Source organism: Homo sapiens, chromosome 16, assembly GCF_000001405.40.
Source record: "Homo sapiens chromosome 16, GRCh38.p14 Primary Assembly".
Classification (NCBI taxonomy): Eukaryota; Metazoa; Chordata; class Mammalia; order Primates; family Hominidae; genus Homo; species Homo sapiens.
The window spans coordinates 12,591,707-12,613,022 of NC_000016.10; the positions used below are offsets into that span (position 1 = coordinate 12,591,707).

Sequence of the window (21,316 nt, forward strand, 5' to 3'; positions counted from 1 at the left end):
TGGGAGTTTGAGACCAGCCTGGGAAACATGGTAAAACCCTGTCTCTATTAAAAATACAAAGAGGACAACCAAGATGGCCCAACAGGAACAGCTCTGATCTACAGCTCCCAGCATGAGTGACACAGAAGACACAATTTCTCCATTTCCATCTGAAGTACTGGGTTCATCTCACTAGGGAGTGCCAGATAGTGGGCACAGGACAGTGGGTGAAGTGCACCCTGCGCAAGCCAAAGCAGGGCAAGGCATTGCCTCACTCAGGCAGCACAAGGGGTCAGGGAGCTCCCTTTCCTAGTCAAAGAAAGGGTTGACAAACGGCACCTGGAAAATCAGGTCACTCCCACCTGAATACTGCGCTTTTCCAAAGCAGCGCACCAGGAGATTACATCCCACACATGGCTCGGAGGGTCCTATGCCCACTTGAGTGTCGCTGATTGCTAGCACAGCAGTCTGACATCAAACTGCAAGGCGGCAGTGAGGCTGGGGGAGGGGCACCCGCCATTGCCCAGGCTCACTTAGGTAAACAAAGCAGCCGGGAAGCTCGAACTGGGTGGAGCCCACCACAGCTCAAGGAGACCTGCCTGCTTCTGTAGGCTCCACCTGTGGGGGCAGGGCACAAACAAGAAGACAGCAGTAACCTCCGCAGACTTAAATGTCCCTGTCTGACAGCTTTGAAGAGAGCAGTGGTTCTCCCAGCACGCAGCTAAATATCTGAGAACGGGCAGACTGCCTCCTCAAGTGGGTCCCTGACCCCCAAGCAGCCTAACTGGAAAGCACCCCCCCGTAGGGGCAGACTGACACCTCACAAGGCCGGGTACTCCTGAGACAAAACTTCCAGAGGAACGGATCAGACAGCAACATTCGCAGATCATGAAAATCCGGGGTTCTGCAGCCACCACTTCTGGTACCCAGGCAAACAGGGTCTGGAGTGGACCTCTAGCAAAATCCAACAGACCAGCAGCTGAGGGTCCTGTCTGTTAGAAGGAAAACAAAGGACATCGACACCAAAAACCCATCTGTACATCACCATCAAAGACCAAAAGTAGATAAAACCACAAAGATGGGGAAAAAAACAGCAGAAAAACTGGAAACTCTAAAAAGCAGAGCACTTGTCCTCCAAAGGAATGCAGTTCCTCACCAGCAATGGAACAAAGCTGGACAGAGAATGACTGACGAGTTCAGAGAAGTCGGCTTCAGATGATCAAACTACTCCGAGCTACAGGAGGAAATTCAAACCCAAGGCAAAGAAGTTAAAACCTGAAAAAAGATTTAGATGAATATATAACTAGAATAACCAATACAGAGAAGTGCTTAAAGGAGCTGATAGGGCTGAAAGCCAAGCCTCAAGAACGATGTAAAGAATGCAGAAGCCTCAGGAGCCGATTCACTCAACTGGAAGAAAGGGTATCAGTGATGGAAGATCATATGAAATCAAGCAAGAAGGGAAGTTGAGAGAAAAAAAAGAAAAAAAGAACAAAAAAGGAGAAAAGCCTCCAAGAAATATGAGACTGTGAAAAGACCCAATCTACGCCTGATTGCTGTACCTTAAAGTGACGGGGAGAATAGAACCAAGTTGGAAAACACTCTGCAGGATATTATCCAGGAGAACTTCCCCAATCTAGTAATGCAGGCCAACATTCAGATTCAGGAAACACAGAGAATGCCGCTAAGATACTCCTGGAGAAGAGCAACTCCCAGACACGTAATTGTCAGATTCACCAAAGTTGAAATGATGGAAAAAACGTTAAGGGCAGCCAGAGAGAAACGTCAGGTTACCCACAAAGGGAAGCCCATCAGACTAACAGCTGATCTCTCAGCAGAAACTCTACAAGCCAGAAGAGTAGGGGCCAGTATTCAACATTCTTAAATAATTTTCAACCCAGAATTTCATATCCAGCCAAACTAAGCTTCATAAGTGAAGGAGAAATAAAATACTTTACAGACAAGCAAATGCTGAGAGATTTTGTCACCACCAGGCCTGCCCTGAAAGAGCTCCTGAAGGAGGCAGTAAACATGGAAAGGCGCAACAGGTACCAGCCACTGCAAAACCATGCCGAAATGTAAAGACCATCAAGACTACAAAGAAACTGCATCAACTAACGAGCAAAATAACCAGCTATCATAATGACAGGATCAAATTCACCCATAACAATATTAACTTCAAATGTAAATGGACTAAATGCCCCAATTAAAAGACACAGACTGGCAAATTGGATAAAGAGTGAAGACCCGACAGTATGCTGTATTCAGGAAACCCATCTCATGTGCAGAGACACAGATAGGCTCAAAATAAAAGGATGGAGGAAGATCCACCAAGCAAATGGAAAACAAAAAAAGGCAGGGGTTGCAATCCTAGTCTCTGATAAAAGACTTTAAACCAACCAAGATCAAAAGAGAGAAAAAAGGCCATTACATAATGGTGAAGGGATCAATTCAACAAGAGCTAGCTATCCTAAATATATATGCACCCAATACAGGAGCACCCAGATTCATAAAGCAAGTCCTGAGTGACGTATAGACAGTCTACCATTATTATTGTGTGGGAGTCTAACACCCCACTGTCAACATTCCACAGATCAACGAGACAGAAAGTTAAGATACCCAGGAATTTAACCCAGCTCTGAACCAAGCAGACCTAATAGACATCTACAGAACTCTCCACCCCAAATCAACAGAATATTTTTTTTTCAGCACCACACCACACCTATTGCAAAATTGACCACATAGTTGGAAGTAAAGCACTCCTCAGCAAATGTAACAAACTCTCTCAGACCACAGTGCAATCCAACTAGAACTCAGGATTAAGAAACTCACTCAAAACCACTCAACTACATGGAAACTGAACGACCTGCTCCTGAATGACTACTGGGTACATAACGAAATGAAGGCAGAAATAAAGATTATCTTTGAAACCAACGAGCACAATGACAAGATACCAGAACCTCTGGGACACATTCAAAGCAGTGTGTAGAGGGAAATTTACAGCACTAAATGCCCACAAGAGAAAGCAGGAAAGATCCAAAATTGACACCCTCACATCACAATTAAAAGAACTAGAAAAAAAGCAAGAGCAAACACATTCAAAAGCTAGAAGGCAAGAAATAACTAAAATCAGAGCAGAACTGAAGGAAATAGACACAAAAAACCCTTCAAAAAAAATGAATCCAGGAGCTGGTTTTTTGAAAGGATCAACAAAATTGATAGACCAATAGCAAGACTAAAAGAAAAAAAGAATCAAATAGATGCAATAAAAAATGATAAAGGGGATATCACCACTGATCCAACAGAAATACAAACTACCATCAGAATACAACAAACACCTCTACACAAACTACGCAAATAAGCTAAAAAATCTAGAAGAAATGGATAAATTCCTTGACACATACACCCTCACAAGACTAAACCAGGAAGAAGGTGAATCTCTGAATAGATCAATAACAGGCTCTGAAATGGTGGCAATCATCAATAGCTTACCAACCAAAAAGAGTCCAGGACCAGATGGATTCACAGCCAAATTCTACCAGAGGTACAAGGAGGAGCTGGTACCATTCCTTCTGAAACTATTCCAATCAATAGAAAAAGAGGGAATCCTCCCTAACTCATTTTATGAGACCAGCATCATCCTGATACCAAAGCCAGGCAGAGACAACCAAAGAAAATTTTAAGTCCAATATCCTTGATGAACATTGATACAAAAATCCTCAATAAAATACTGGCAAACCTAATCCAGCAGCACATCAAAAAGCTTATCCACCATGATCAAGTGGGCTTCATCCCTGGGATGCAAGGCTGGTTCAATATACAGAAATCAATACATGTAATCCAGCATATGAACAGAAGCAAAGACAAAAACCACATTATCTCAATAGATGCAGAAAAGGCCTTTGACAAAATTCAACAACCTTTATGGTAAAACTCTCAATGAATTAGGTATTGATGGGACGTATCTCACAATAATAAGAGCTATCTATGACAAACCCACAGCCAGTATCATACTGAATGGGCAAAAACTGGAAGCATTCCCTTTGAAAACTGGCACAAGACAGGGATGCCCTCTCTCACCACTCCTATTCAACACAGTGTTGGAAGTTTTAGCCAGGGCAATTAGACAGGAGAAGGAAATAAAGGGTATTCAATTAGGAAAAGAGGAAGTCAAATTGTCCCTGTTTGCAGACGACATGATTGTGTATCTAGAAAACCCAATTGTCTCAGCCCAAAATCTCAAGCTGATCTGAGACTTTGCTGAAGTTGCTTGATACAAAATCAGTGTACAAAAATCACAAGCATTCTTGTACACCAATAATAGACAGAGCCAAATCATGAGTGAACTCCCATTCACAATTGCTTCAGAGAATAAAATACCTAGGAATCCAACTTACAAGGGATGTGAAGGACCTCTTCAACGAGAACTACACAAACCACTGTTCAATGAAATAAAAAGATACAAATAAATGGAAAACTATTGCATGCTCATGGGTAGGAAGAATATTGTGAAAATGGCCATACTGCCCAAGGTAATTTATAGATTCAATGCCATCCCCATCAAGCTACCAATGACTTTTTTCACACAATTAGCAAAAACTACTTTAAAGTTCATATGGAACCAAAAAAGAGCCCGCTTAGCCAAGTCAATCCTAAGCCAAAACAACAAAGTTGGAGTCATCACACTACCTGACTTGAAACTATCCTCCAAGCCTACAGTAACCAAAACACCATGGTACTGGTACCAAAACAGATACATAGACCAATGGATCAGAACAGAGCCCTCAGAAATAAAGCCGGATATCTACAACTATCTGATCCTTGACAAACCTGAGAAAAACAAGCAATGGGGAAAGGATTCCCTATTTAATAAATGGTGCTGGGAAAACTGGCTAGCCAGATGTAGAAAGCTGAAACTGGATCCCTTCCTTACACCTTAAACGAAAATTAATTCAAGATGGATTAAAGACTTAAACTTTAGACCTAAAAACCATAAAAACCCTAGAAGAAAACCTAGGCATTACCATTCAGTACATAGGCATGGGCAAGGACTTCATGTCGAAAACACCAAAAGCAATGGTAACCAAAGCCAAAATTGACCAATGGGATCTAATTAAACTAAAGAGCTTCTGCACAGCAAAAGAAACTACCATCAGAGTGAACAGGCAACCTACAGAATGGGAGGAAATTTTCACAACCTACTCATCTGACAAAGGGCTAATATCCAGAATCTACAGTGAACTCAAATTTACAAGAAAAAAACAACCCCATCAAAAAGTGGGCAAAGGATATGAACACACACTTCTCAAAAGACATTTAAGAAGCCCAAAGACACATGAAAAAATGCTCACCATCACTGGCCAGAGAAATGCAAATCAAAACCACAATGAGATACCATCTCACACCAGTTAGAATAGCAATCATTACAAAGTCAGGACACAGGTGCTGGAGAGGATGTGGAGAAATAGCAACACTTTTACACTGTTGGTGGGACTGTAAACTAATTCAACCATCGTGGAAGTCAGTGTGGCAATTCCTCAGGGATTTAGAATTAGAAATACCATTTGACCCAGCCATCCCATTACTGGGTATATAGCCAAAGGACTATAAATCATGCTGCTATAAAGAGACATGCACACATATGTTTATTGCGGCACTATTCACAATAAGCAGACTTGGAACCAACCCAAATGTCTAACAATGATAGACTGGATTAAGAAAATGTGGCACATTTACATCAGGGAATACTATGCAGCCATAAAAAATGATGAGTTCATGTCCTTTGTACAGACATGGATGAAGCTGGAAACCACCATTCTCAGCCACCACACCTGGCTTTTTTTTTTTTTTTTTTGAGGGGGTAGAGAGGAGATCTTACTAGGTTGTCCAGGCTGGTCTCAAACTCCTGGGCTCAAGCCATCCTGCCGCCTTGGCCTCCAAAAGTGCTCGGATTATAGGCTGAACCACCACCCCCAGCCGTGATTCCAACGCATGAGTTTTAGGGAAGGGGGCTGGTCCAAATGGACAGGAAGTTCGCAGCTCCAGAAGGGGCCTCGATTTGAAGGGGACTGCTGTGATGGAACCTCTCTGGGTGCAGTGCTTTCAATTGTCGTCACATGCCTTTGTCAGCAAACATTGAGCATGAACAGGTTTTTTCAGCTCAGAAATTAACTGTATTCTAATATGCTGTATTACAACAGATACCCCAAAGGAAAATTTTGAAGTAAGATTTTCTAAAGTTGACTCTTAGGTTTATACATCTACCCAACGACTTGTTTTATGCGTCCCCTAGGGCACACAGACCCCATCGCAGCAACCTCGGCATTAGATGGAGTTTGTACGATTCTTCTCAACCAGCTCCCGAAGTACAATGGTAACAAATGAATTCAAGTCCAGCAGCCAAACCTTCTGTCCCAGGACAGTCATTATCTTCACAGCAGTCACCAGCCACGTTCCTCTTAAGGAACAGCCTTGGGACTCAGGCTGAGAGAATGGGACAAAAGGCACCTGGGGCCATTTCCATCGTTTCAGCTTCCTGTCCTTTTCTTCTACCTCTTTCTAGAGGTTTCCATCAAAGAGTACCGAATTGGGCTGCGCTGTGTGAAGTATGTAACTGTCTACATGCATATCACGAGAACTTCCCCAGTAGCCGGAGTATTTCTGGAAGCCACTGTGGTGGACAGCCCTTAAGACCCCAATATCTATTCCTCCTCCTTTATAGAAGGACAGAACATCCAGTTTTCAATGGGACACATGGCCACCCAGAATAAAAGCTGTTTCCCAGCCTCTTGGAAGTTACGAATGGCCATGGGACTTTGTCTCAAAAAAGAAAAGTCTTGCTCTGTCAGCCAGGCTGGAGCACAGTGACATGATCTTGGGCTCATTGTACCCTCTACCTCCTGGTTTCAAGTGTATCTCCTGCCTCAGCCTCCCAAGTAGCTGGGGTTACACGTTTGCACCCCAACCACGCCTGGCTGAGTTTTGTGTTTTTAGTAGAGATGGGGTTTTCACCATGTTGGCCAGGCTGGTCTCAAACTCCTGACCTCAGATGATCCACCTCCCTCGGCCTCCCAAAGTGCTGGGATTACAGGCATGAGTCACCAGGCCTGGCCCATGCCACTAATTTCTGGCCGTGTCCCATTCATAAGACGTCTTCCTTGCTGATGCGCTATATCCCTCACCATCCTCCCACAATCAGCCCACAAAAGATAAACCTTTTTAGACTGTCATGGAAGGAACACAGAAGAACCCTTAAGTCCCATGATAAACATGTAACCTTTGTTTGTTAGGTAACATGAATGAGAAAATGGAGACCTTCATTCTGAAGCTGTCCATCAGCGTCTGTCCATCACCACATAGGGCCCAAAAGTAAGACCCACGGTGCGTTACAAGCTGTTGTGTAGACATGACCCAAGCTTGATTTCTAGGTTTCTGGTGGCAATCCGGAACAATCCACCTCTCACTGTCCCCAATCCATAAAGAGTCCTTCAGTTGAATATCACCAGGAACAAAGTTGCTGTTAATTCTTAAGTTGCCTCTGCACAAATCACCAAAGTATTTATTCTCCTAGACAGATGCAGTCCTACACTTAGCTTCACAGGCTTGGCGAGTGGGGCACCGGTCAGGCTTCAACTCCTACAGGCTCCATCAGAGGACATCCTGGAATTGTGTGCAACCTGTTCAACTGCACATGGCAGCCTTAAAGAGGTCCAGGATTTCCATCTGAGGTATTAAGAAAAGCAATCATAACTCTTCCTTCCACTCCCCGAAAGCATCACAAGGTCTTACCCACAGAGCTCAGCTTTAGTGAGCAAACTTCTTATACCTCAAATAAGAATCCTGTTTGGACAATGAAGAATCTGCCTTTGGCTAAGTGTTGGCTGCTGTGTAGATAATGTGCATATTGCCTAAACAGTCAGGCTCTGAAAATTGGGGAACTTCATCCCATTGCAATGGAAATAGTCAAGGTAAGGGAAGGCCTGGAGATGCAGGTTGGCCTTTGTTTTCTGGGGTTCTCAGACTCAGTACCTTCACAGTTCAGGAAGCCTCTGTCCTCCTCCTCACATAGCAGATACCACCTTGATCCTGCTCATCTTCCCTGGTTTCAGTAGAAGTCATTTTTTTGAGCATCTGTTACTCACAAGGACAGGTGGCTAACACATTTTAGAGCTACCATGTTAGGTGGGAATTGACACCCAGAGCAAGGCCACACAACTAGAGTGAGCCACACTCACACTCAGGGTAGCCAACTCCCAAAGCTAGCGATCCTTGGTGAAAGTCCAAATACCAACATCAATAACACTTAAGAGCGTGTTAATGCTTATCAGTTTCTAAGCCCCAAAGTCACTACTGTTCCTTATACAAAAAACATGCCTCCAATGAATGCAAATTAAGACCACAGTGATTTGTCATTTTAGAAATACCAGGCTGGCAAAAATGTCAAAACCTAATACGTTATAGTAGGCAGAGAAATGGCCCCGTGCAAGCATCCATCTCCTCCTGTCATGGGACACATCGTGGGTCATGGCAATGGCAAGGGCAGCCCATGTGGAGCAGCTACTGCAGGATGCCAGTTGCAGAGGCGGCAGCATGGCCAGGGCTGCGCAATTCAGAGCCAGCAAGACCTGGGAACATGCATGAGCCCCACCCTCCTGGGCACAACTGCAGCCACCCGGCTGTGGTTCTGGACCCGGGCATCCCTGTGCTCTCAGGGGGCTGGGAAGCCTCCCCTCCTACCGCAGGCTCCGAAGTGCCTGTTCCCACTTCCCTGGCCTGTCCCTGGATCCGGTGCCCACTTCAATTTCAAAGCAAAGTTGTGGCCAAGCCTAGACACTTTAGTAACCCACCTGGGGGGTACATGTGCTTCGGGCAGGATTCAAACACCAGCATATACACCACCACCCCCAACCACTACCTTGGCCCCCTCTGGACTTTGGGTGGCACTAAGTGTGGGAGGGAGGTCGGGGTGGCTGAGGGCAGCTCAGCATGGGCCTGCAAGAATCCCTAGGCCCAAACAGCCTGGGTGCTGTGGACAGCATGTTGATGGCGGGAGGCAGACACGTTTCTGGACAGAAAGGGGTAGGTCCCTGGTGAAACCTCACCTTCAAAGCCAGGGATGGCCTGAAGCCCGGGCTGTCTGTTCCAGGTGGAGTGAGAACTTATACTGCTTTCACTGGGCCCACTCATGGACCAATCAGCATGTACTTCCTTTCTTCTGAGCCTCTAACAACCCCAGACTCAGCCAGACTAACACAAGTCGGGACTACCAGCTACAGGAAGGAGTTACCCACTTCGGGTCTCCTCTCTGGTGAAAGCTGGACAGTCATCAGGACAACCTGCCTTTGGGAAGAAGCTACCCTCCGCAAGCCTCCTGAGAGCTGTTCCGTCACTCAGTGAAGCTCTTCTCTACCTTGCTCACCCTCCAGTTGTCCGTGTACCTCATTCTTCTAGGAAGGAGGACAAGTACTTGGGACCCGCCAAATGGTGGGACTGAAAGAGCTGTAACAAACAGGGCTGAAACACACCCACACACACTAACTTGCCACATTGCATGTATTGAGAAGGAAAGAGTTGCAGTCCTCCAGGGAACCCAGATCTAGGGGGCTCCCCAAGCCAGGACTGTAACACCCTCTTTGGGGATCAGGAGTTCCTGGCATCTCCAAGCTTCCAGCTGCCAGCACATACCCCTTGTTCAGACAAGGGTACCCACAGAAACAGCCACATGTGGTACGTCTGGTCCAGTCAGCCTTGCAGAGTCAGCACCTGTGCCAGTACCCAGAGCTGCCTGCCCTGTTGTAGCACCCAGCACACCTGGCCATACACAGCAGCCAGGCCCCACGCTTGTCACCCACACACCCGTCGTCACTTCGTGCCTGGCTCACCCTTGGAAGGTATGGGGTTCTGGGCCAGTGGCATGAGCCAAGTGCAGCCTGCTTAGCCAGGTGAGCACAATGAGCCCAGCAGGTGTGAGCAATGCTCAGGCAGAAGGTCCCACTGACCACAGGGGTTTCCAGTTGCAAAGCAACACCCTAAGGATCTTGTGATGATGGCAAGGGGGCATGAAGGATACAGATGGGATCAAGGTTGCTAACCAGCTGAGTGTGATGGCAAGATTATCCTGGATTAGCTGGGTGTGCCCAGTGTCATTCACAGGGGTCCTTAGAAGTGGAAGCGGAGAGCAGAGAAGGTCACTGCCAAGAGATGCTCTTCGAGGATGGAAGGGGCCACAGGCCAAAGGAACACAGGTGGCCTCTAAAAGCTGGAAAAAGGAAACAGTCACCTCTAGGAGCTTCCTGAAGGGATGCAATGGACACCTTCATTTTATCCCAGAGACTCATCTCACTTTTGACGGAGATCGATGTGATCCTGTCTAGAGAAATGAACATGTGTACGCCCTGTTGCCCTATTCCCTGAAGACTCCACCCCTAGGTTAAACACTATTAGGGGCCTATTGCTCCTGTAACAGGTGACCAGAGTTAGTAGCTTAAGACATTCCTTGGGGTGTGGCCTTTTTCCTTCATCTCCAAAGCCAGATGAAGTTAGCCCCTCTCACTTCAGATCTCTCATCTTCCACTTAGTTTCACTTCTCAAGTCCTTGTAGCATCTCTCTCAACACAGCCAGGATAGGCTCTCTGCTTTTAAGAGCTTATGGAAATAAGGCCAAGGCAGCCACATCACCTGAGGTCAGGAGCTCAAGACCAGCCTGGTCAACATGGCAAAACCCCATCTCTACTAAAAATACAAAAACTAGCCTGGCATGGTGGTGCACACCTGTAATCCCAACTACTCAGGAGGCTGAGGGAGGAGTATCAGTTGAACCTTGGAGGCAGAGGTTGCAGTAAGCCGAAATCGTGCCAATGCACTCCAGCCTTGATGACAGAGCAAGCCTCAGAAAGAACTTATATTGGATGCACCTGGGTAATTCAGCATAATCTCCCCCATCTCTGTTGCTTTAATCACAGCTGCTAAGTCCCTTCTGTCCTACAAGGTAATACCCGTAGGTTCCAAGGATTATGAGGTAGACGCCTTTAAAGGACTTTGGCAGTGCCCAAGGTGTAGGGAGAGCTGATCAGCCATGGCTGCCTTCCACGTAGAGGGAGGTGCATGGTAAACAGTGTCAGGGACTAGGAGCTACTGGACACAGTGGGGCTTGGCCTCAAGGCCGCCTTCCATAAAAGCCCACTACTCTGTTGCTGTGGGGTTGAGTGAAGCACAAACAGCAACGCAAGCAGCCCCGACGGGAGGCTCCTGCAACATCCATGCAGGCGGTTCCAGAAGCCCAGCCCAGGGCTCCCATGTAGGAAGAGACCCCCCAGTGGACTGATTCAAGGGGTGCCCACAGTGGCCTGCCGTCTCAGACTCGGGGTAGGGGACAGGATGAAGGAGGTATGTCGGTAGCACATCCCTTCCACCACCTCCTCCCATAAACAGACTGCAAAAACTGCTGACACTCCCTGAAGTTCCTCCTCTGTCCCCGGAGGAACATTTGACGTGAAACACGGTCGTCATTTGCCATGTGCTGAGAGAGGCCCTGGCGGAAGAAGACGCATGTTAATGAGGAGGGAGTTGAAGGGGAATGGAAGAAAATGACCACCATCTGCTCCAGGGCTTTGGGGAAAGGGAGAGACTAGGACAGATGTAGAGTCAGTGACCCCAATTTAGTCTCAACTGCAGCTGTCTCAAGGTCTGGGCTGTAAGGGCCCAGGTGTCCTTGGTGATGCCCTTAGCAGGCAGAGGCCATTTCCATGGTTCCCACCTAGAAAGGGCCCTTCATCTTCTCAATGACAACATGGTCACCCATTGTAGTCGGTCAGCACTGGGGGTCTGTGGGAGGGGTTCTCCAGGCAGAGGCACAGCCAGAGGACAATAAGTTAGCCAGAGCAAGAGGTTTGGGTAGGGAGAAGGCACTGAGGCAGGAAGGCTGGCACCAGGACAGATGGATCTGAAGTGGGGTCAGTCATGTCTTTCTATGGGTGATCACATTTTCTAGGCAAAGTTGGGAGTGCAGGTGAAGAGGTCATATATCCCCCAAATGCTGTTCAAATCAAGAACTTCTAAAACAAAAATATTTCAGTTTTTGCAGTGACGGCATCAGGTGTAGAAGGGTAGGTCCTATTATTGCCATCTGGGGGGAGGAGCCAAGATGGCCGAATAGGAATAGCTCCAGTCTACAGCTCCCAGAGTGAGCAATGCAGAAGAGACAGCTGATTTCTCCATTTCCAACTGAGGTACCGGGTTCATCTCACTGAGGGGCGCAGGTCAGTGGGCACAGTGCACCAAGCCTGAGCCAAAGGAGGGCAAGGCATTGCCTCACCTGTGAAGTGCAAGGGGTCAGGGAATTCCCTTTCCTAGCCAAGCAAAGCTGTGACAGAAGGCACCTGCAAAATTGGGTCACTCCCACGCTAATACTGTGCTTTTCCAATGGTCTTAGCAAATGACACACCAGGAGAGTATATCCCACGCCTGGCTCAGAGGGTCTTATGCCCATGGAGCCTCACTCATTTCTGGCACAGCAGTCTGAGATCAAACTGCAAGGCAGCAGTGAGGCTGGGGGACAGCCACCCGCCATTGCTGAGGGTTGAGTAGGTAAACAAAGCAGCCGGGCAGCTTGAGCTCAGTGGAGCCCACTGCAGCTCAAGGAGGCCCACCTGCCTCTGTAGGCTCCACCTCTAGGGGCAGGGCATAGCCAAAGGAAAGGCAGCAGAAACCTCTGCAGACTTTTAAACGTCCCTGTCTGACAGCTTTGAAGAGAGCAGTGGTTCTCCCAGCACTCAGCTTGGGATCTGAGAATCGACAGTCTCAAGTGGGTCCCTCACCGCCGAGTAGCCTAACTGGGAGGCACCCCCCAGTACAGGCAGACTTACACCTCACATGGCCAGGTAGTTCTGAGACAAAACTTCCAAAGGATCAGGCAGCAACATTTGCTGTTCACCAGTATCCACTGTTCTGCAGCTTCTGCTGCTAATACCCAGGCAAACAGGGTCTGGAGTAGACCTCCAGCAAACTCCAACAGACCTGAAGCTGAGGGTCCTGTCTGTCAGAAGGAAAACTAAAGAGAAAGGACATCCACACCAAAACCCCATCTGCACATCAAAGACCAAAGGTAGATAAAAACCACAAAGATGGGAAAAAAGCAGAGCAGAAAAACAAAAAATCTAAAAATCAGAGTGCCTCTCCCCCCCTCCAAAGGAATGCAGCTCCTCACCAGCAATGGAACAAAGCTGGACAGAGAATGACTGACGAGTTTAGAGAAGGTTTCAGACAAACTACTGTGAGGTAAAGGAGGAAGTTCGAACCTATGGCAAAGAATTTTAAAACCTTGAAAAAAAATTAGATGAATGACTAGGATAACCAAAGCAGAGAAGTCCTTAAAGGACCTGTAGGAGATGAAAACCAAGGCACAAGAACTACGTGACGAATGCACAAGCCTCAGAAGCCGACTCAAATCAACTGGAAGAAACGGTATCAGTGATGGAAGATCAAATGAAATGAAGTTTAGAGAAAAAAAAAATTAAAAGAAATGAACAAAGCCTCCAAGAAATATGGCACTATGTGAGAAGACCAAATCTACGTCTGATTGGTGTACCTGCAAGTGACAGGGAGAATGGAACCAAGTTGGAAAACACTCTGCAGGGTATTATCCAGGAGAACCTCCCCCATCTAGCAAGGCAGGCCAATATTCAAATTTAGGAAATACAGAGAACACCACAAAGATACTCCTGGAGAAGAGCAACTCCAATACACATAATTGTCAGATTCACCAAAGTTGAAATGAAGGAAAAAATGTTAAGGGCAGCCAGAGAAAGGTCGGGTTACCCACAAAGAGAAGCCCATCAGACTAACAGCTGATCTCTCAGCAGAAACTAAAAGCCAAAAGACAGTGGGGGCCAATATTCAACATTCTTAAAGAATATTCAACCCAGAATTTCATATCCAGCCAAACTAAGCTTCATTAATGAAGGAGAAATAAAATACAGACAAGCAAATGCTGAGAGATTTTGTCACTACCAGGCCTGCCCTAAAAGAGCTCCTGAAGGAGACACTAAACATTGAAAGTAACAACCAGTACCGGCCACTGCAACAACATGCCAAATTTTAAACACCATCGAGGCTAGGAAGAAACTGCATCAACTAACAAGCAAAATAACCAGCTAACATCTATAATGACAGGACCAAATTCACACATAATATTAACTAAATGTGAATGGACTAAATGCTCCAATTAAAGACACAAACTGGCAAATTGGATAAAGAGTCAAGACCCATCAGTGTGCTGTATTCAGGAAACCCATCTCACATGCAGAGATACAACATAGGCTCAAGATAAAGGGATGGAGGAAGATCTACCAAGCAAATGGCAAACAAAAAAAGCCAGGGGTTGGAATCCTAGTCTCTGATAAAACAGACTTTAAACCAACAAAGATCCGAACAGACAAAGGCAGCCATTACATAATGGTAAAGGTATCAATTCAACCAGAAGAGCTAACTATCCTAAATATATGTGCACCCAATACAGGAGCACCGAGATTCATAAAGCAAGTCCTGAGTGACCTACAAAGAGACTTAGACTCCCACACAATAATAATGGGAGACTTTAACACCCCACTGTCAACATTAGATCGAGACAAAGTTAATAAGGATATCCAGTAACTGAACTCAGCTCTGCAGCAAGCAGACCTAATAGACATCTACAGAACTCCCCACCCCAAATCAACAGAATATACATTCTTCAGCACACCACACATATTCCAAAATTGACCACATAGTTGGAAGTAAAGCACTCCTCAGCAAATGTAAAAATATAAATTATAACAAACTGTCTCTCAGACCACAGTACAAACTAGAACTCAGGATTAAACTCACTCAAAACCACTCAACTACATGGAAAGTGAACAACCTGCTCCTGAATGACCACTGAGTACGTAACAAAATGAAGGCAGAAAATAAAATGTTCTTTGAAACCAACGAGAACAAAGACAACATACAAGAATCTCTGGGACACATTCAAAGCTGTGTGTAGAGGAAAATTTATACCACTAAATACCCATAAGAGAAAGCAGGGAAGATCTAAAATTGACACCCTAACATCACGAAAGAACTAGAAAAGCAAGAGCAAACACATTCAGAAGCTAGCAGAAGGCAAGTAGTAAGGTCAGAGCAGAACTGAAGGAAAGAGACCCAAAAAAAAAAAAAAAAAAAAAAAAAAAAAAAAAAAAAAAAGAATCCAGGAGCTGTTTTTTTTTTTTAAAAGATCAAAACTGATCGGCCACTAGCAAGACTAAGAGAAGAATCAAATACATGCAATAAAAAAATCATAAAGGGGTTGTCACCACTGATCCCACAGAAATACAGACTACCATCAGAGAATACTATGAACACCTCCATACAAATAAACTAGAAAATCCAGGAGAAATGGATAAATTCCTCAACACATACACACTACCAAAACTAAACCAGGAAGTTGAATCTCTGAATAGACCAATAACAGGCTCTGAAATTGAGGCAGTAATAGCTTACCAACCAAAAAAAGTCCAGGACCAGATAGATTCACAGCCGAATTCTACCAGAGATACAAGGAGGAGCTGGTACCATTCCTTCTGAAACTATTCCAATCAATAGAAAAAGAGGGAATCCTCCCTAACTCATTTTATGAGGCCAGCATCATCCTGATACCAAAGCCCGGCAGAGACAACAAAAAAAGAATTTTAGACCAATATCCCTGATGAACATGAATGCAAAAATCCTCAATAAAATACTGGCAAACCGAATGCAGCAGCACATCAAAAACTTATCCACCATGATCAAGTGGGCTTCATCCCTGGGATGCAAGGCTGATTCAACATACACAAATCAAACATAATCCAGCACATAAACAGAACAGCAAAAACCACATGATTATCTCAATAGATGCAGAAAAGGCCTTTGACAAAATTTGGACAACCTTCATGCTAAAAACTCTCAAATTAGGTATCGATGGGACTTGTCTCAAAATAACAAGAGCTATCTATGACAAACTCAGAGCCAATATGATACTGAATGGGCAAAAACTGGAAGCATTCCCTTTGAAAACTGGCACAAGACAGGGATGACCTCTCTCACCACTGCTACTCAACAGTGTTGGAAGTTCTGGCCGGGGCCATCAGGCAGGAGAAAGAAATAAAGGGTATTCAATTAGGAAAAGAGGAAGTCAAATTGTCCCTATTTGCAGATGACATGATTGTGTATCTAGAAAACCCCACTGTCCCAGCCCAAAATCTCCTTAAGCTGATAGGCAACTTCAGCAAAGTCTCAGGATACAAAAGTCAATGTGCAAAAATCACAAGCATTCCTATACACCAGTAACAGACAGCCAAATTATGAGTGAACTCCCATTCACAACTGCTTCAAAGAGAATAATACACCTAGAAATCCAACTTACAAGGGATGTGAAAGACCTCTTCAAGGAGAACTATAAACCACTGCTCAATGAAATAGAAGGATACAAACAAATGGAAGAACATTCCATGCTCATGGGTAGGAAGAATCAGTATCATGAAAATGGCCATACCGCCCAGGGTAATTTACAGATTCAATGCCATCCCCATCAAGCTACCAATGACTTTCTTCACTAAATTGGAAAAAACCTTAAAGTTCATATGGAACCAAAGAAGAGCCCACATTGCCAAATCAATCCTAAGGCAAAAAACAAAGCTGTAGGCATCACACTACCTGACTTGAAACTATACTACAAGGCTACAGTAACCAAAACAGCATGGTACTGGTACCAAAACAGATATAGATAAATGGAACAGAACAGAGCCCTCAGTTGTAGATATGTGGCTTTATTTCTATCTGATCTTGGACAAACCTGAGAAAAACAATGGGGAAAGGATTCCCCATTTAATAAATGGTGCTGGGAAAACTGGCTAGCCATATGTAGAAAGCTGAAACTGGATCCCTTCCTTACACCTCATACAAAAATTCAAGATGGATTAAAGACTTCAACTTTAGACCTAAAACCATAAAAACCCTAGAAGAAAACCTAGGCATTACCATTCAGGACATAGACATGGGCAAGGACTTCATGTCTTAAACACCAAAAGCAATGGCAACCAAACCAAAATTGACAAATGGGATCTAATTAAAGTAAAGAGCTTCTGCACAGCAAAACAAACTACCATCAGAGTGAACAGGCAACCTACAGAATGGGAGAAAATTTTTGCCAGCTACCCATCTGACAAAGGGCTAATATCCAGAATCTACAGAGAACTCAAAATTTACAAGAAAAAAAAGTCCCCATCAAAAAGTGGGCAAAGGATATGAACAGACACTTCTCAGGAGACATTTATGCAGCCAACAGACATGAAAAAATGCTCATCACTGGCCATCAAATGCAAATCAAAACCACAATGAGATACCATCTCACCAGTTAGAATGGCAATCATTAAAAAGTCAGGAAACAACAGGTGCTGGGGAGGATATGGAGAAATAGGAACACTTACACTGTTGGTGGGACTGTAAAGTAGTTCAACCATTGTGGAAGTCAGTGTGGCGATTCCTCAGGGATCTAGAACTAAAGATACCATTTGACCCAGCTATCCCAATTACTGGGTATATACCCAAAGAACTATAAAACATGCTGCCATAAAGACACATGCACAGATATTTATCGCAGCACTATTCACAATAGCAAAGACTTGGAACTAACCCAAACGTCCAACAATGATAGACTGGATTAAGAAAACGTGGCACATATACACCATGGAATACTATGCAGCCATAAAAAATGATGAGTTCATGTCCTTTGTAGGGATGTGGATGAAGCTGGAAACAATCATTCTCAGCAAACTATGGCAAGGACAAAAAACCAAACACAGCATATTCTCACTTATAGGTGGGAGTTGAACAATGAGAACACATGGACACAGGAAGGGGAACATCACACACTGGGGCCTGTTGTGGGGTGGAGGGAGGGGGAGGCATAACATTAGGAGATACACCTAATGTTAAGCAAGTTAATGGGTACAGCACAGCAACATGGCACATGTGTATTTATGTAACAAACCTGCATGTTATGCACATGTACCGTAAAACTTAAAATTATTGCCATTTAATGGATGGGGGAACTGAGGCCCAGATAGATTAAAAGGTTGAAGCTAATCCGTATACAAGTTTGGGTTAAAGTTCTGGCCTGTGGCTCACATGGCTTTTTTATATTTTGTTTGTATTTTTGAGACAGGTTCTTGCTCTGTTACACAGGCTGCAGTGCAACGGCACAATCATAGTACACTCCAGCCCCTACCTCCTGGGCTCAAGCCATCCTCCCTCAGCCTCCCAAGTAGTTGGGATTACAGGCACATATTGCCACACCCCATTAATTTTTGTGTTTTTAGTGGAGACAGGGTTTTGCCTTGTTTCCCAGGATGGTATCAAACTCCTGAGCTGAAGCCATCCTCTTGCCTCGGCCTCCCAAAGTGCAGGTGTTGTGTGAGCTACTGTGCCCAGCTATGCGTGCCTTGTTTATCCACAGAAGTGGTCAGAAAGCTTCCTGGGAGCAGGGCTGTGGGTTAAGGCTCTGACCAACCCACGCACATTCCCCATCTCCAAACACAATGAGCCCGTAGCAATGAACCCTTGTTAGCCGATTTCATCAACTGAATGCACTTTCCTCAGATCTGATTAGACAAACAGGCTAGCCTGAATCCCAGCTGGGGTGGGAAAGAGACACAGGGAAACAAAACACAACCGGCTATAAGCCAGGGGATGGCCAAGTATTTCTGTAAAGGGCCAAATATTTTTAGGTGCAGATCATGAGATTCCCATTGCCAACTATTCAACTGATGCGTGGACAAGGCTGTGTTCCAACTCACCTTTATTTACTAAACAGGTGGGCCAAAGTTTGCTGACCTCTGCACACTATGATCAATCTATTGAAAGCCAGTCATGGGGATGGGGGTACCTGTTAGATCTGAAAAAATGAGATCTGTCTCTGTTCTTTATAAAGTGGGGGAGGAAGGGCGGTATGGTAAGAAAATGAACAAATTCTGTGCTGAAGACTGAATAATGGTATTTACCTTTGATTTCTTGTTTACTGCATGTCAGGTGCCGTACATTATTCGCTGTAAGCCTCAAAAACTCAGGAAGATTTAGCCCCATTCTCCAGATAAATGAAGTGGCTCAGAGATGTTAAGTTGCTGGAGATCACATAGGCAGGATTCTAACACGAAAGCTTATTCTCATTTCGCTATGTTCCACTGGGCCTGATCCAGTCTCAGCCTCAATTCTCCTGTTTGGGTGGTGCTATGTTATCCAGCAAGATGACCCTGCAAAGTCAATGCTGTGTATTCAAGGCACAATAGACAGTCTTCTAGAGGCAGTAGCCTCCACCTAGCACAATATGGTGACAAGGTAGCCCAAGCTGTCTGACCACTTCAGCCCAAATAATTTCACACAAGCATGAAAATTAGAGAAGATGTCATAATGGTGTCAGAGGGATTTGAACCAGAGCAACTCCATCTTGGGTAGGAGCTGGATAAAATGAGGCTGAAACTATTGGGCTGCATTCCCAGACGCTTAAGACACTTAGTCACAGGATGAGATAGCTGTATCTTGTGCCGACCTGTTTGCTGATAAAACAGGTTGCAGTAAAGAAGCCGGCCAAAACCCACCAAAACCAAGATGGTGCTTAAAGTGGCCTCTGACCGTCCTCACTGCTACACTCCCACCACTGCCATGACAGCTTACAAATGCCATGGCAACATCTGGAAGTTACCCTATATGGTCTAAAGAGGGGAGGTATGAATAATCCACCCCTTGTTTAGCATGTCAAGAAATAGCCATAAAAAAAGGCAACCAGCAGCCCTCAGGGCTGCTCTGTCTATTGAGTAGCCATTCTTTATTCCTTGATTTTCTTAATCACCTTGCTTTCACTTTACAGACTTGTGCTTTCTTTCTTTCTTGCAGGAGATCCAAGAACCATCTCTCTCGGGACTGCATCAGGAACCCTTTCATGTAACAATAATGGTAGAAGCACCTGGGATTTGGGAAAATCTTGGAGAGTACTTTGAATTTCTAAAAACCCATGAAAAGGGAGATTTTAAAAATTCACCAAGTGTTACCTAGATCTTTAGGGGTCCAGAGATGCCAACTAGTTTTGGGGCTCCACACCACAATGCAATAAAAAAAATGAGGCTGCTTTGGTCGAAAAGGGAGGTAACAATGTTACAGGCAAGGGGTCCTGATCCAGACCCCCAAGAGAGGCTTCTTGGATCTCGTGCACAAAAGAATTCAGGGGCAAGTCCACAGTGCAAAGCAAAAGTATGTTTATTAAGGAAGTAGCCTAAGTACTGTTAGCCATAGAGTAGGGCATTCCCAAAAGAAAGGGGAATGCATCCACTCTAGGTACAATGCTTGTTTATAGAGAATAAAAAAGATCATGAGGGGCCGGGCATGGTGATTCACGCCTGTAATCCCAGCACTTTGTGAGGCTGAGGTGGGGGGGATCACTTGAGGTCATGCGTTTGAGACTAGCCTACACAACATGGTCAAACAGTCTGTACTAAAAAATACAAAAATTAGCCAGGGGTGGTGGCACGTGCCTGTGCGCCCAGCTACTTGGGAGGCTAAGGCAGGAGAATTGCTTGAACCCGGGAGGTAGAGGTTGCAATGAGCTGAGACTGCACCATTGTACTCCAATCTGGACAACAGAGCAAGACTGCATCAAAAAACAAAACATCTTGATGAGAGACATGCTCTGCTACAAGGATTTGTAATAATTCTTAATTACTACATTTTACAAGAATCAGTATTATCTTCGAAGCGAAATTACGAATCCTTCTGTTCAAGGTATCAGGATAACATGACACTCCCACATCTGGGTCTCTTTAGTAAGCATTGAAGGATGTAATACCTCTTCCAAGATTTTAGCCTGTCAATTGTTAAGTACAATGAGTTCTGACATCCCATCCAAAGAGCCAATCTATCAGTACACGTTCGGCTCCCGTTTTGTCCATTTTAAAGTTTAACTTCCTCGTTCTCATCTCCTTGCCCCTAGTTTCAGTAAACAAGCTTTTCCACCAGTTCTAATCAGTAGGTCACATGTGTTGCCCTGGTCACCTACTCCATCCTGAGTCAACGCTGGTTACCTGCTCTGACTTCAATCATCGTGAGTCACCGGTTCTGTAGCAGTCATTCCTGCTTCTCAGACTTGTACCCACTGCTCTTTAAAATAGCCATTCGGAATTAGCTTACACTGTGGTCCAACCCTAGCCAATAGGGGAATGACAGCAGTAGAGGCTACCTGTCTCAGAAATAAGAACCCCTTCCTCTCCCTTGGTTCAGCTGTGCTCTCGCCATTGCT

General features: G+C 45.0%; 1 long non-coding RNA gene across 1 annotated transcript in view, besides 2 other annotated features; it reads right to left on the bottom strand.

The window, feature by feature from the left end:
• SNX29-AS3 (SNX29 antisense RNA 3) overlaps window positions 1–19,436 on the bottom strand; it is an 80,226-nt gene extending 60,790 nt beyond the window's left edge. The window contains exon 1 of the long non-coding RNA XR_007064988.1: window positions 19,032–19,436. This is a non-coding gene — a long non-coding RNA (SNX29 antisense RNA 3). The remainder of the gene's footprint in view (window positions 1–19,031) is intronic.
• Window positions 432–951: an enhancer, noted in NCBI's record as "H3K4me1 hESC enhancer chr16:12685995-12686514 (GRCh37/hg19 assembly coordinates)". NCBI's record gives its function as "activates a minimal SCP1, AML or CMV promoter by ChIP-STARR-seq in primed H9 embryonic stem cells {active_cell/tissue: H9 hESC(primed)}" and the evidence as "EXISTENCE:reporter gene assay evidence [ECO:0000049][PMID:30033119]".
• Window positions 20,900–21,279: a transcriptional cis regulatory region, noted in NCBI's record as "candidate enhancer chr16.1337 targeted for multiplex CRISPR interference". NCBI's record gives its function as "positively regulates CPPED1 gene expression with high confidence in K562 cells {active_cell/tissue: K562}" and the evidence as "EXISTENCE:mutant phenotype evidence [ECO:0000015][PMID:30612741]".